This window comes from Homo sapiens, chromosome 3, assembly GCF_000001405.40.
Source record: "Homo sapiens chromosome 3, GRCh38.p14 Primary Assembly".
In the NCBI taxonomy this organism is placed as follows: Eukaryota; Metazoa; Chordata; class Mammalia; order Primates; family Hominidae; genus Homo; species Homo sapiens.
In genome coordinates this window covers 151,144,127-151,160,995 of record NC_000003.12, presented here as the reverse complement: position 1 = coordinate 151,160,995, position 16,869 = coordinate 151,144,127, and the positions used below count along the sequence as shown (strand labels likewise).

Sequence of the window (16,869 nt, the reverse complement as noted above, 5' to 3'; positions counted from 1 at the left end):
CCTACACAAAAGATAACTGACCAGCCTCTGGGCCTCTTCCCATAGTGTTTCCCCTGCCAGGAAACTTTTACTACTTCTTTTTACTTGATCTTTCTCAACTCATTCGAAGAACTAAAAAATTTCTTTCACAAAGCCTCCGTGAGTTTTAGGCTGGACTAGAGGTTCCCCTTTTCAACTGCCTTGGCCCCCTGTGTATCTCCCCAACAGCCCTTGTCATATTATTTGGAAACTGTCCATTTATGACCCAGTTTTCCTGAAAAGACAGTAAACTCTGAGAGTGGAGACCATGTCTTGAGGGTCAACTGTTTCAAAGCTCCTTAGTATACAGCAGAACACATTAAGAGCTCAAGAAATACAAACTGAACACTAAGCTGTGAGCTCCTCTAGGGCAGGACTGTACCTCATTCCTGATATTCCTGGTAGTATCAGCCCAGCAACCAGCATGTTACTGGATGTTCAAGGACTACACAAGCAACAATGCTTGGAAGACGAACGGAACCCGATACGATTTGGACTTTAAACACAGACAGGCAACCAACCCAAGATGTGAACTTAGAAAGATTAAAAATGCTAGCTGGAGAAGCTGTCTTTCCAGAAGAACAATAATACAACTGACTTATTCTGTGGGTTCCCTGAAGGATTTTTAATTGAACTGCTTAATGACCCTAATAAAGGACAACTGCAATAACACTCTCCTAGACGAATGTGACAAATCTTCTCTCAGCTTGATCCATCACAGGGAAATAAAAACATAAAATTTCAATCAATAAATTACTTGGGTGAGGAAAAAACTAGAGTTGTAAAAAGTCAACTAGAGAATTGAAAATGCCATTCCCAACTCAATCACTTCCCACATTGAATTTTAACATAAAATAACAAGGGCCAAGGACTTACCTGCAACATACAACTAAGTCCATAAACCAGGGGACCATGCTGTGCACAGGAAAGAAAATCTGAGAAGGCCAGCTGCACGGGGCTCATGCCAGGGCCGGGGGGGCCAGGGCTGGGGGCCCCGATACTCGAGTTGTTTGGTCCTATCATCATGTGGGGTGAGTGGGCAGCAAGGAGGTTGGGGCTATCGCTCAGCAGCAAGGAAAGACGCCGGGCACAAAAGTAGGCAAGACGACGAGACAGGTAGGCCGACTGAACAAACTCATCTGAATACTGAGAAGTAGAAGGACACCAGACTTCAGTCATGTCTTATGCGTCTTGGTTAAATAACTATTTTAACACAGACTTTTTTTCATTTAAAAAAGATAAAAAAACTTCAAAGGTATAAAGCAAGTGCTGTCCAATAGAAATAGAATGTGAGCCACACGTATAATTTTAAAGTTTCTAGGAGCCATGAAAAAAATAAGAAACAGGCAAAAATTAGAATAATGTATTTTATTTAGCCCAATATATTCAAATGTTATCATTTCAACAGGTAATCAACATAAAAAGTATTACTATTATACACTTTTCCATACTAAGTCTGAAATCTGGTGTGCATTTTACACTTAGAGCACACATCAATTTGGACTGGTCACATTTCAAGAGCTCAGTAGCCACATCTGGCTAGTGGCTATTGTAATGGACAGTGCAGGTACAGACTATCTCAGGGGAGAGACACAGGAACCTATGGTATAGTCTGTGGGGAGGGTATGAGAGTGAAAGGGAGAAGTGCTGTTCACTGGATATTCTTCCATCTTCCTTGAATTATCAAATACATGTATCACGTAAGAATTTTTTTAAATAAATCTCATCTAGATACATCAAATTTAAGCACATCTTAGACCAATCATCAAAATAAAAAGTTTCCTATCCCAAGAGTCTCAAAGACTTGTCAAAAGAATGTAGAAGATCCCCTATCTTCAAAAGGGATGATTTGTTTTGTTTTCACAGAGATTTGTGTTATTATATGGAGACAGTATTTTAAAAGTTGGTTGCTTTGCTCAGTGATAGGAGAAATCAATGTGGGTAAAATTACTTAAAAATTAGGACACATGGATAAAAACTACCAACATGGTTAACACAAATGATGGCTAAAACTTATTAGAAGCCTTTATCACTTCATGTGTTATAGCATCAAAGACATTTTTTCCTTCCATTTCAACAGGATATTTTTTCCTTTTCCTCTTCCACTTACCTAATCATTCTTATCAGGCTCATTTCTTGCCCATAAAACCAACTGCCTCAAGGGGACATGTACTATACCTGCAGCATTAGTGGTAGCAAGAGTTTAAGAAGATCATCATCCATTGGTCTGATCTTTTCTAAAACATCCAGGATCCATGTCAAATATTCGTGTTTTTCTAACATTCCTTCCTTAAATGAACAAAGAAAAATTACATTAATAATGTTAAAGAAAAAAAACAAAAAAGGCACTGTCATTCTTATGCTTAAGTCTAACTGTACTACTGTTTTTGTTGTTGTTAAACATAGTCTCATTGCTCACAGTCCAAATTCTAAACAAAACAAATAACTAATATGTTTTGTATAGTTTTTTTTGTTTTTTAGAAATCTGCTCCAAATTGAGAAAAATTCATTCCAACAATGAAAAAAAAAAATTTCAGAAGCTTTCACACCCCCAGTGTGTGTCAGGGTCCTGGCTAGATTTCGGGGGAGTATGAACTCATGCTCATAGAAGGAAACTTGGGTAACAGTGATAATTATAAAGAAGATAAGCACTGCTCATGCCATCATCTTAACAAAAGTGTGAAAATCCCATCAGACCCAATGCCCCCTTAATAGCTTCTTCCACTATCCCAAAATTAGTTTCAGATACTATCACCTATCTATAAAATACAACCTTAAAAATCAATGACCTAATATACAGAAATGAAAGGAATTTATGATAAAATAATGTATAAACATTTCAACACAACTACAATAAAAAACAGTAATACCCCCTACAATTTCCAAAAATGCCCCACGGGGGTGACACAGACCCTATAGAGACCACTAATCTTGATATAAGCACTACAAACATCTTTTGTCTCTTGCCTTCATATGCATATACACATAGATAAACACATTATTTTATGACATTCTATGCACATATAGATTTAATATCCTATTATAGTTTTGTATTATGATTCACAGAATGAAAGAAAGAAACAAAAAACTGTTTTCTGGGAAAGACATATACTTTTATGGTCATTCTGGTAACAAACTTAGTAGTTCATATGAAATCTTACTTTGTTCCTAGCAACTGTTATGTATTACCAGTGTTCCACTGCAATGGTTATCAAGGATTCATGTGAAAATATTACACTGATAAATTACAGTTGTAGTATTTCAAAGTTTACAGTGAGGCCACATTGACATGACATCTTGCTAATTTCTAATTTTTAAAATGTTTACAGTCAAAAATAGTTAAAAAGTCACATAAAAAGTGCAATTTAAAATTTTAAGACCAATAAAGTGAGTTCTAAATAAATATATATACAGTTTTCATTTGTCAATTTAAAAATTAATTAAAATTTTTTTAAAAAAGAGACAAAATGGAATTTTCCATTAAGGTATAAGAGATGGTAAATTCAAGATTCAAAAAAACAAAGAGAATCTTCATAAATAACAGTCCATCCTGTAGATGCTTTGTTTATATACCCATGCCCTTGTTTCTGCATATACATGTCTTCACGTGTATGAATTAGGGTGTGTTTCACATTTCAGAATACGGCAAATTAAAATATAATGAACATTTAAATTTTAACATTACTATTTCGATTATATTCATTCCTTTAGGACCTAACTGCTTTCTTAAAAAAAAAAAAATTCTAATTTCAATACTCCTAATACGTAATTCTTCCAGAACCATTAAACATGCTGAGAGATACTTTTTCCAAGATGCAGACTAAATTCTGAGCCCAGTAAAAGTCATAAAAGCTCAGGGCAGCACTAAAGTAGTCCCTCTTCTAAATGGAACTAGAATTTATTTTTACTGACTTAAAAACTAACAATATTACTTCTCAAAAAGACCTTATTTTTTCCTATGTTGACCTCTTAGAAGAGGAGCATGAAAATTATAATAAAGGTTCTAAAGGGAAAATTTAGAAACCACATGTCCCCTCCCTCTTTAATCAAGATAACAGGCACTAAAATCTCTGCTAATAATAAGACTTGAACTGAAGTCATCTCTCTTACCTTACCATGAATAAGGTAATTAAGAGCCCAAACGCCCTCTTCTGGTCAACATTATTTACATCAGCTTGTCTGGGTGAGAGTTCAGTCATTCCTAAACGCCCTTACCCCTCCCCTCAGCTCTGTTTGTATTTTCAGCTGCAGCTGAATTAAGATGACCTTTCTCTGGAACAACTTAGGTCTAAAGGAGGTCTGCTACCACAGAAGGCATCAGCACAAAGGTGTTTTTAAATAAATATATCCAATTTTGCAAAATAAAAGGTTTAGAAGGATTACATTTAATAGTGCAATTACGAACTAATTAATAGCACTAAAAGAGCTAACATGATTGAAAGCTGGAGATCAATATGTATAATAAGCTGTCATCCCAGGGCAGATGTGTCACCCTGAATACAATTCGATGTGAGAAATGTCAGACTGCTTTCTTTGAATGTATTGGTTCATGTAAAATAGGATTTAACCCCAGAACACCAAACTATAAGGAATTTGCTGTCTTCTTAAAAGCATTGCACACAACTCTGCATGTCTTCAAAAGGTTACCTGGAACATGTGAAATGCTAGCTTTTCGTTGTATTCCCATTGCTTCATGGCTTGCTCCACCTCTGGTGGCACAGGGACAGGGCCATCGCCCGTGCTGGAGGCCATGTGGTAAAAGTCAGAAATCTTGGCCAACTGCTCTCGAAGATATCTGGTAGATATCTGTGTCCACTCTGCATTTTAAAAAAAGAAAAATATGAGTTTCTAGACACAATGGGTACAAGAATTACATGTTTTCTTCCCCATTCTGATTATCTCGAGGGTGTACTGATAAAACAAACATCTGCTCCCTAAAAATGATCTGTGCCTGTACAAGCAGTGCTCAGAAAAGGATACCCACCCAAAGCCCTTAGAGAACGCATGCTAGTGTGAGGTGGCCTGCCCTGTGGCAGCAGCCAGCTCTCGGAGAAACAGGCAGCTCTACCCTTGTGCTTCTGTGACTCTTAACCTAGGAGAAGAGATGTTCACTCTCGAATTGGGTCCATCTGGTGATCCTCCTTGTTAAACATCAGTTAGTATATCAAAAAAACAAAGGCAAAGCAGGACAGAATCGTGAAGGGGAGATCTCAAGGAATCTCAAATTCCACAGCAAAAGAATTCAAAATCCCCCAAAAGCAGCTCTCTTAGGATCCATTTTTCAGGCTCCACATGGAATTTCAAATATGCCTAATTAAGATTTGTTTGTTTTTGTCAGTCTTTAAGAGGACAGACATTCATTCACTGCGGGCTGGACCATGAAAGCATTCCAACCCGCACTGCCCCAGGATGTGTCAGGGACACCCGCATGGCTTCCCTCAGGACAATCATCTGGATCTTCAATTATTCTACTCTCCTCAACCAACACCAAGTGTCTCAAAACTCAGGGAGGGTGAAATCAGAGAGGTTGGGGAGCAACAAACAGTGGGATACTGGAAAGGAAACAACCAAAGTAGCAACAGGAAAAAAATCACTGAAATTGTTCAAAAATGTCTGCCACAGGGGCACAAATTAAATCAGTGTGTTGCCTCTGGCAACCATGAGGGATGTGATGCCAACTTTAGCCCATTCTGTGGATAAAAATGTAATAATTGCATGCTCACAGCCAAATTTCCCCAAGGATTAGCAAAACAGCATTTCAGAAGAAAACACCCTACTGAAACATTACCACACAATGCTGTTTTCCCATTATTCAGCAATAGGTTCTCCCACCTTCTATTTTGACAAAAGAAAGAGTAGAAACTAAACATCTGCTAGTCACTGAGTGCTTTGTTTTTACTTTTTAAATACCCTTAAAATTATTTAACAGAACCCAGAGATAACTACTGTTAAGTTTTCATCTAAACCACTTATTTTAATTGTGTCTTATTTAAAATTCAAATTCAAATGCACGCTGGAGTTGTTAAACTTCGGTAACAAGCCAATGCGAAAAGACGAACAAATACTAGGTCGACATTCTGTTCCTAGTTTAATAGTTTTTCTGAAAGCACCGATAACAGATATTAAAGTTAGTCCATTGGCATTAAAAACAGTAAACTATCTATGTCATCATGTTCTTCTGTCCTGTTATGGACTAACAGTCTCATGACACTCACTTGTTCAACAAAACGAAATACCAACCATCAGATGAGACAAGTTTAGCTTAGCTATAATAAGCAAAAACAAAAATAACAAGGATCCAAATCCTAACTTTTGTATGCCAACCCTTGCTATTAACTCACTGTCAGTATGGTACTATTCTCAATATCCCCACTGAATATTTTAGCCTCAGGAGCTAAAAATATTAATAACACACACATTCATACACCCCTATTTTGTCTAGGGTATATCTCCTTTTTAAGATTTTTTAAAATATAGGAGAAATACGCGTTCATTATAGAAAATTTATACTGCAGACATGAAAAGAAAAACCATCTGTAAGGCCATCACCTATAATCACAAAATATTTTCATATATATCTTTCCATCTTTTCTACTCTAAGTATGCATGAATGTTTCTATAAACATATGCATATCTTTTTTAAAAACGTTGCTGAATATACTATTCCACAATCTGAACTCCTTTTGGGAGTCCATAAATAAAGCCCTCTTAACCCTGTGCTTTAAGTGTATTTAACTGACTTAAAGTTATGTCAATCAGATAGCTACAGGGCTCTGGGACATAAGACAGTCGAGTGGATGCGGATTAGTAAAACTGCAATTAAAAATTAAAAATAGAAAATAACACATAGTGACTAGTACTGTACTCCTTAATAATTATTAATAATGTTTATAATTATTCACGACTAGAGAATGGTAATGAAACCGGACCAATGAGCGGACAGTGGCCAGACGGGCCTATTTTCAACTCAGCTCTCAGCCCTGAGTGCACAGCAGAATGGTGACGGGAACTTTTAACAAATACCACTGCCTTAGGCCCCAACCCATCAGTTTCTAATTTAATTGGTCTGGAGTGAGGCCCCAGTTTCAGGTGACAAAAAGAAAACAGAAGGCCGGGTGAGGTAGCTCACACCTGTAATCCTAGCACTTTGGGAGGCAGAGGCAGGCCAATCACCTGAGGTCAGGAGTTCAAGACCAGCCTGGCCAACATGGCGAAACCCCGTCTCTACTAAAAATACAAAAATTAGTCAGACATGGTAGTGGGTGCCTTTAATCCCAGCTACTCAGGAGGCTGAGGCAGGAGAATCACTTGAAGCTGGGAGGCAGAGGTTGCAGTGAGCCGAGATCACACCACTTCACTCCAGCATGGGCAACAGAGCAAGAGTCTGTCTCAAAAAAAAAAAAAAAAAAAAAAGAAAGAAAACAGAAACGGATACATACAGATTATACTGAAGATGAAGGGGCGGGGAATGTTCAGGGGTAGAAAATACAAAGAAAGTGACTATGCAAGCTACTCTGAAAGTAGAGCAGTTCTAAATTCAGGCAATGCAGATGATATGAATACATGTGTAGTTGTTGATGTTAAATAGAACTTAATGTCCATGAAGCCAGATTATTAGAAAGTTTATGATCATGAATGTTACTGAGAGTGGTGTGAGGGGTCAGGATTGAAAAGAATGACAGCTTTTTTGGACCATACTCTACCTAGCATCCAGAATTCTGGAACCACTATTCCTTCCTTGTTAATGCCTAACCCTAGGAACAGAAGGCTGACCTGGAAGGGGTTTCAGGGGTCATGCAGTCCACCCTACCATTTTAGAGTTATTAGCACTGTGATCTTGGTCACCGATGCATAGCTAAAACAGTAGTACACTGAGTGCTTTGTTTTAGTAGTACAAAAATTGTGCCTTGCTCTAGTATATGAAAACACGTAAATTATAAACACATAATGGGTGACAGCAGAGATGTGTCACATTACATACAAGCAGCTCCTCCCAGGCCTGGGATACCTGCAGTATTAAAGAGAGAAATGGAAGCTCAGCAGAGGAGGAACACCCGCCATGGAGGCAAATACAGAGCACACCAAATGAAGTGAGGCTCACAAAGGTCACTGGCGGTGTTACACCACCAGAGAGGTAGTGTAGGGCAGCATTTAGTGCTATTAGCAGAATGGACTTTGGAACAGGATGGCCTGGGGTCCAAATCTCAGATCTGCCACATATTAGTTGTGCAACCTGGAGCAAGGCATTTACCTCTGCTAAATCTCAATCTCATTTTAAAGAGAGGCATTAATAATATACATATGCCTCAGAGTCACTGTAAGGATGAGTCACTTAGCATGAAGCATGCAACACGGAAATCAATAAGTGGTAGCTATTATCACCATCAGGATGAAAGTCAGTAGAAAGGAAACTGATAGACCTTGAGTATCAATAGACAGCACCTGCTGTCACCAATGTCAGACCCTGCCTCTGCCTCAGCTGAGTTAACACCCCATGATTAATATAATCCAGGCAATGCTCTGGATAAGTATTTACGGAATCAATCAATGTCAGTTTCACTGTTCAGTACCTTCGATGGGCCAGGCGGTGGCTCACACCTGTAATCCCAACACTTTGGGAGGCTGAGGCAGGACGATTGCTTGAGACTAGGAGTTTGAGGCCAGCCTGGGCAACACTGTGAGACATCATTGTTACAAAAAAATCAACAAAATTAGCCAGGCATGGTGGCACACACCTATAGTCCCAGCTGCTCAGCAGGCTTAAGTCAGAAGGCCGCTTGAGCCCAGGAGATAAAACCTGCAGTGAGCCCAGATTGCTCTACTGCACTCCAGCCTGGGCAACCGAGTGAGACCCTGTCTCCAAAAAAAAAAAAAAAAAAAAAAAAAAAAAAACCACCTTCAACTGATCCACAATTCTTAATGAATTAAGGACAAACTCCTTAGCTAGGAATTAAAATCATTTCAAACACTATCTACCATTTCTCACCACCATGCTAGCTCCAGTTGCTTTCTCTCCCATGTTTACAGTGCTTTATCCATCTAAAATACAGGCATACTTCATTTTATTGCACTTTGCCTTACTGGGCTTTGTAAATACTGCATTTTTTAAGAAACTGAAGGTTTGTGGCATCATTTTCCCAACAGCATATGTTCACATCATGACTCTGTGTTACATTTTGGTAATTCCCTCAACGTTTCAAACTTTTCAGTTATTATTATGTCTGTTATGGTGATCTGTAATCAGTCATCTTTGAGTGACTATTGTAAATGTCTTGAGGTGCCACGAACCATTCCCATATAAGACAGCCAACTTAATGGATAAATGTTGCGTGTGTTCTGGCTGTTGCATCAACCTGTCTCTGTCCCATATCTCTCTTCCCACCCCCCACCCAACTTCAGGCCTCCCTATTTCCTGAGACACAATATTAAAATTAGGCCAATGAATGAACCTACAATAACCTTTAAGTGTTCAAGTGAAGAGTCGCACATCTCACTGTAAATCAAAAGCTAGAAATGATTAAGCTCAGCGAGGAAGGCATGTTAAAAGCCAAGACAGGCCAGAAGCAAGGTCTCTTATGCCAAACAGCCAACCTGTGGACGCAAAGGAAAGGATCTCAAAGGAAATTAAAAATGCTACTTCAGGCTGGGTGCGGTGGCTCACGCCTGTAATCCCAGCACTTTGGGAGGCAGAGGCATGCGGATCACGTGGTCAGGAGATGGAGACCATCCTGGCTAACACGGTGAAACACCGTCTCTACTAAAAATACAAAAAATTAGCTGGGTGTGGTGGCGGGCGCCTGTAGTCCCAGCTATTCAAGAGGCTGAGGCAGGAGAATGGCGTGAACCCCGGGACGTGGAGCTTGCAGTGAGCCCAGATGGCGCCACTGCACTCCAGCCTGGGCAACACAATGAGACTCTATCTCAAAAAAAAAAAAAAAAAAAAAAAGCTACTTCAGCAGTCATACAAATGATAAGAAAGCAAAACAACTTTATTGCTGATAGGGAGCAAGTTTCAGCAGTCTGGATAGAAGATCAAACCAGCCACAACATGCCCTTTAGGCAAAAGCCTAATCCAGGGCAAGGCCTCAACTCTCTTCAATTCTATGAAGGCTAAGAGAGGAAGCTACAGAAGAAAAGTCGGAATCTAGCAGGAGCTAGTACGTGAAGTTTAAGGAAAGAAGCCATTGTCACAACATGGAAGTATAAGGTGAAGCAGCAATGCTGACGTAGAAGCTGCCACAAGTGATCCAGAAGATCTAGCTGGGATCATTGATGAAGGTGACTACAGTGAACAACAGATTTTCAAGTTAGACAAAACAGCCTTCTGTTGGAAGAAGATGCCATCCAGGACTTTCATAGCTAGAAAAGAGAAGTCAAGGCCTGTCCTTAAAAGACAGGCTGACTTTCCTGTTAGGGACTGATATGGCTGATGACTAACCTAAAACCAATGCTAATTCACCATTTGGAAAAGCCTATAGCCTTTAAGAATTATGTTAAATCTAGTCCGTCTGTTCTCTGTAAATAAAACAACAAAGCCTGGAGGACAGGACATTTGTTTACAGCACGGCTTACAGAATATTTTTAAGCCCACTCTTGAGATCTACTGCTCAGAAAAAAGAGAGATACCTTTCAAAACATGACTGTTCACTGACAAAGCACCTGGTCACCCAAGAGCTCTGATGGAGATGTACAAGGAGATTAATGTTGTTTTCATGCCTGTTAACACAACATCCATTCTGTAGCCCATGATCAAGTAATTTTGACTTTCAAATATTATTATTTAAGACATATATTTCATTAGGCCATAGCTGCCACAGATAGTGATTCCTCTGAAGGATCTGGGCACAGTAAACTGAAAAGCTTCTGGAAAGGATTTACCATTCTAGATACCATTAAGAACACTTGTGATTCATGTGTCAGGGGGTCAAATATTGACTTCCATAGGAGTTTGTAAGAAGTTGATTCCAACCTTTATGGACGAGTTTGAGAGGTTCAAGACTTCAGTGGAGGAGACAGCAACAGATGTGGAAACAGCAAGAGAACTAGAATTAGAAGGGGAGCCTGAAGATGGGACTGAATTGCTGCAACCTCCCAGTAAAATTAAGCATGAAGAGTTGCCTCTCATAAATGAGCAAACAAAGTGGTTTCTTCAGATGGAATCTACTCCTGGTGAAGATGTTGTGAACACTGCTGAAATGACAACAAAGGATTTGGAATATTCCATAAACTTCGTTGATGAAACAGTAGCAGAGTTTGAGAGGACTGACTCCAATTTTGTAAAATGTTACCAAACAGCATCACATGCTACATAGAATTCTTTCATAAAATGAAGAGTCAATGAATGTGGCAAACTTCATTACTGTCTTACTTTAAGACTTAAATTGCTACATCCACCCCCAACCTCCAGCAGCCACCACCTAGATCAGTCAGCAGCCATCAACCCTGAGGCAAGACCTTCTGCTAGCCAAAAGGTTACAACTCAGTGAAGGCTCAGATGACTGTCAGCATTTTTAGGGATGAAGTATTCCTTAATTAAGATGTTACTTTTTTTGACATATGCTATTGCACACTTAATGGACTACAATACAGTGTAAACATAACTTTTATATGCACTACGAAACCAAAATATTCATGTGATTCACTTTATTGTAGCAGTCTGGAACCCATAATATCTCTGAAGAATGTCTGTACCTTCTCTACTTGCCTGTATTCTAACATTTAGTTCCCTCTAGTCTCTGAACACCACTTCATCACCTAGCAGGGCTTTGTCTCCCGTCTCTGACATATTACAATTTCCTCCATCCTCCATCCCCGTAAAACTACACCTTACACGTAGACAACACCTAAGTATTGATTTCAATCAATACACCATAAGGTCCTCCCAAAATAACTACCAAATCAAGTTCCCTCCCAATGATTCTCTCATTTCTTGAAACAAACTTATTTCTTTTGTAGTTTAAACTCACCACTGCACACCTAAAAGGTTTCAAACATGACAACAGGGAAAAGGCCAAATTCCTTCTCTAATACACTGTCTCTAATATAGCTAAATAGAAGCACCTGTTAATCAATGGCTATAAATGGGCCGGGCAAATATTGGACTTTCCATTCTTTTTCAATAAATTTCCTTGTAAATGTATGTGTATGTATAGGTTTTTATATAACCATATATGAAAAAACTAACTTTGTAAAGATTCATTTTCCTAGCTACTTCCTTTTCCATCATCAAAGCCAGTGGGAACTCACTATGTGAAATGAAATGCAACAGAGATTGTTTTTTTTAAAACTCCAACCAAGTCCAGAGACTAAGGAGCAAATCTTTAAGGTGATCCACCTGACACAGCACTTTAAGTCAGAGGTGATGGACTCCTCAATGGAGAAATTCATTTCCTTGGAAATCCTTCTTTAGGCTATATGACTACAATAATACCCCCTTCTGAGTGTGAACAGCCTGCTTCTCAAAGCTGCAGGACATAGAGGGTTTAACCAGCCTGACGTTGGTGCAGACTGAATGAGAGAAAAAATGCAAAATCAAAAATTTCAGTACATGTCAGCTATTATATATACCATTACTCAACCCTCAGTAAGAATGGCTGAAAGATTTTCCACCATTTTTCTCACATTTTCTGTTGTTAAAATACTTTTTTGATCAAAGACACAATTAACAGGGTGAAAAGATAACACACCAATTGGGAGAGAATATTTCAAATCATATATAAAGGAGTTGGATCTAGAATACATGATGAACTATTAAACTCAATAATAAAAAGACAACCCAGTTAAAAAATAGGCAAAGGATCTGAACAGACATTTCTCCAAAAATAATAAACAAATGGCCAATAAGCACATTTAAGATGGTCAACACCATTAGCCGATAGAGAAATGCAAATCAAAACCATAATGAAATACCGCTAGGACAGCTATAATAAAAAGACTGATAATAACAAGTATTGACAAGAATGTAGAGAAACTGAAATCCTCAGGTGTTCCCCACGGGAATATAAAATGATAAATGTAATATGTGGAAAACAGTAGGATAGTTCCACAAAAGGTTAAATATAATGTCATCACATAATCCAGTAAGTTATACATACCCAGGAGAACTAGCCTGTATATCTAAGAGAAATGACACATGTCCACACAAAGACCTGTAAACAAATGTTCATAGCAGGATGTTCATTATAACCAAAAAGTGAAAACAATCCAATATCCGTCAGCTGATACCCAGATAAATAAAATGTGGCATATGCATACAATGGAACACCATTCGGCCCTAAGAGAGAATGAAGTACTGAAACCTGCTACCACATGGATGTACCAGGAAAACATACACTAACTGAAACAAGCCAGTTTCAAAGGACCACATGTTGTATAATTCCATTTATATAAAATGTCCACAAAAGGCAAATCTACAGAGAAAGTAGGTTAGTGGTTGCCTGCGGCTACTGAAGGCAAATGGGGAGTGACTGCTCATGGGCATGGGGTTTTTCAGGGGTAGCGAAAATGTTCTAAAATGTGGTTAATAGCTTCACAGCTCTGTGAACATGCTAAAAAACACTGACCGTAGACTTTAAATGGATGAATTATATAGTATTTCAATTATATCAATAAAGCTGGTTTTTTAATATTCAAATATTTAAAATGTCTTCTTGAAGTACTTAACTACCAATAAAATGAAGTAAAAGATTATTTCTTCATGAAGTAAAAGAAAAGATTACTCCATACTGATAAAAAGTAAAACACTAGGAAATGATATAATTTCACAGGTGGGGGGAGACAGAGAGGATAAGGGGTAGAAACAAGAGTGACTGTGAGTCAATGGTTAAAGCTGGGTGAAGAGTAAATGGGTGTTATTATATACTTCTATATTTGTACATGTTTGATGTCCCATAATAAAAGGGTTTAAAAGTTAATCAGTTGTACCCTATAAAATGAGCCACAGAAAATCCAAAATCCCATACTCAGCCACTGTTCACATGGGGAATGAAAAGTAGTCAGTGCACTGATTGGCTGCCTGGATAAATAGCCCAAATGAAAACTGCTGCCTCAGTGCCACAAGACCAGCAGAGTCAGACCACTGGCCAGACTGCTGGGTTCTGCTGAATGATCAGATAGTTAAATCAGGTTCTCTGGCTGGAGAGCAGGAAAAGAGAGAAAAGGAGGAGGGGTGGGGATGGGCTGTTGGTACACAGTGGAAATGACACAGCGTGATACATTACTGAAATACATTTTTGCTTTTAAAAAGTTTTCCTCTAACAGAATTACCTGTAGAACACTGGGGACAAATACAGAGTGCCTGTTTTTGTCTGGATGACTCATTTTACTATGTTATTTTAAACCAGCCATTTCCCTCTGGTTTTAATTATTGTGCAATGACACCGTGCAAAGTACTATTACTTAGGGATCAAGTAGGCAGCTCAAGATCAAATAAAATAAAACCCATCAATATGTAGCAGCAAACACTAAATGCCTACCACGACCCTCTACTGGGATATGAGGCTACAAAGAGAAGAAAGTGGCCCTGCCTGAGGTGCACATGACACAAAAGTAGACAGCAACAAGGTAAGTGCTCCATTGTACCCTGAGACCCAGGAAAGGAAGCAAAGAGGCGTTTCATCCACATATTGGGGAAGGTACAAAGGAGTTCCACACACAGAAATGGCAGCGTGTGACATTTCAGGCAATGCAGATGGCAGGAAGGCAGAGGGAGTCACCAGTGAGGCGCAGGAAGGTCCCCAGAGGCCAGAGTTCCTCAAACGCTAGTGCACAAAATGGTCACCAGAGGGTGCTGGTTCAACGCACACGTTTATTTCCAACTCCAGGGATTTCAACTCCAGAGGTCTGGAGTCGGGTGGAGAAATCTGCTTTTTTAATCAGCAGCCTGGAGGACTCTGACCCAGGCAGTGGCAAGCTATGGAGTTTGGTTTTTTATCACAAATGGGTAACTGAAACATTTTAAACACAGCAACGGCAAGATCAGATACGTAAATTAACGCTATTTCTCAGGAAGTTGTAGGGGAAACCCTGGAAAGGAGGCTGCCAACTCCATCAGGGAGGTGACTGCAGCAGGGAACAAAGAGGCAGGTGCGACACCTTTGTGAGGCAGAAGAGGAAACACCCTAAAGTGGAGATGAAGGAAAGAGAAAGGGCAGCTAACACATTTCCGAATGGGTGGTCCTGGTGCCATCAACGGAGATGTGGAATTACAGAGAACAGCTGGGGAGGGGTGGCAGGGCTGGGTTCAGTTTGTTATTTCCTTAACTTGTTTTAATGAAACTTCTTATTTTGAGATAACTGTAGATTCACATCCAAGTGTAAGAAAGAGATCCCATGGACACTTTACTTAGTTTTGCCAAATGTTAACTTCCTTCAAATCTATAGTACAATATCGCAACCAGCATACTGACACTGAGGCAACTCACCAATCTTACCCAGGTTTCCCAGTTTTCAGTTTAGTTTTGAATACGCCAGATTTAAAATGCTGGAGATATTCATGGGAAAATATGTTAAGGAGCAGGTGGATATGCAAGTCTGATACTCAGAAGGGTCAGGGGAAAGATGCAAATGTAGCGAACATTACCATATGTGGGATGCAATGCCTTAAAGAATGTGTTCATGACTACAGAAGTACCTAGCAGACACAATCCTGGGGACAGACCAGTTTATCATGCAGAGTAACAATATTGGTAGTGCACTCGCTGTGCACTGGCCCTCTTCTAAGCCCCTGACATGCATTAACTAGCTTAAGAGTGGTGAAGGGCACAGGTTCTAGAGTTAGCTGGCCTGGTTCCTGCCCTGGCTCCAATCACTTACCAGCTTTGGAGTTTTAGAGCAAGTCAGCCCCTGGGTGCTTCAGTTACTTGCCTGTAAAACAGGGCTAGTAAGTGTTCTTAGCCTATACAGAATTATTTTGAGGATTAAATGAGATGCAACATGCTAAAACAGTGACTGGCACAGAGCGAGGGCCCAGAAGAAAGCAAACTTACATGGTTTACAAGGCTGGGTAGGGAGGAGGCTACAAAAAAGGAGGAAGTAACCTTAGGTGAAAGTAGCATCTCTCCAACCAAGACTGGAGGAAGACGGGTAAGGACAACCGCTGCAGGTAGGTTTACATGATGCAGGTATGTCGGGGGCGGCAGTGAATAGGTCACTGAGGGAAACTGACAGGACTGTTCCTCTGGGATGTTCCTGGGACAGGTGGTGGGGAAGGGAAGGAAGACTGAAGAGAGAGGTGAAGAGGTGAAGATATGACCAGCCACAGTGAGTGAAGGGCCCTCTGCCTAAGGAGTGAATAACACAGCTGAGGAAGGGGGGCAGTACCCCAGGAAAGACAAGGCCATTATAAGGCAATATCTAAATACTTGCCCAGTTGTGTGTCAGGTAGTCAATGCTTAAGATTTCAGAAGAAAAGAGACCAGCGTGGCCAAGTCAGAAAACAGGGGGCCGAGGCCTCTGACAAGGATACAAAAATAGGGGAGAGGGGTCGACAAGGGAGGGTCTGACAAGAGCACAAAAGTCTTGTACTGCAAGGTTGCATGGAAACTCCCGACTGCATCTTTCTTCCTGTGAGGTTGCTGGGCTGTATCTGATAGCTGAGGAGAACCACACTGGACACCTTTCTTGGATTCTCCCTTTCACTCACAGGTCTCCAATTCTCATTTTCATTTTAACGTAAACATGCTAACTGTCGCATTTAGGGATTTTTTTTTCCCCCAGTTGTCCTTTTTCCCTATCAACCCTGTACATGCATCTCAAGCTAAGGCATGCGGCAACCACAGAATCCAATTTTAGCCCTTAGAACAAGAATTTCTTATTTGACACATCAGTCACACCACCAGCTTCCCCCACAGC

General features: G+C 39.8%; 1 protein-coding gene across 24 annotated transcripts in view; it reads right to left on the bottom strand.

Moving 5' to 3' along the window:
• Positions 1-16,869, bottom strand: part of MED12L (mediator complex subunit 12L) — a 350,990-nt gene that overhangs the window by 275,658 nt on the left and 58,463 nt on the right. For 21 of the 24 annotated variants that reach the window (XM_017005676.2, NM_001393769.1, XM_017005678.2 and 18 more), the window contains 3 exons: positions 4,666-4,835; positions 2,197-2,307; positions 895-1,164 (listed from right to left, as the gene is read on the bottom strand). In XM_017005676.2, the coding sequence (XP_016861165.1) occupies positions 895-1,164; positions 2,197-2,307; positions 4,666-4,835 (551 nt within the window). The remainder of the gene's footprint in view (positions 1-894; positions 1,165-2,196; positions 2,308-4,665; positions 4,836-16,869) is intronic. The other 3 variants (XM_017005679.2, XM_047447417.1, XM_047447411.1) reach the window with 1 other exon arrangement.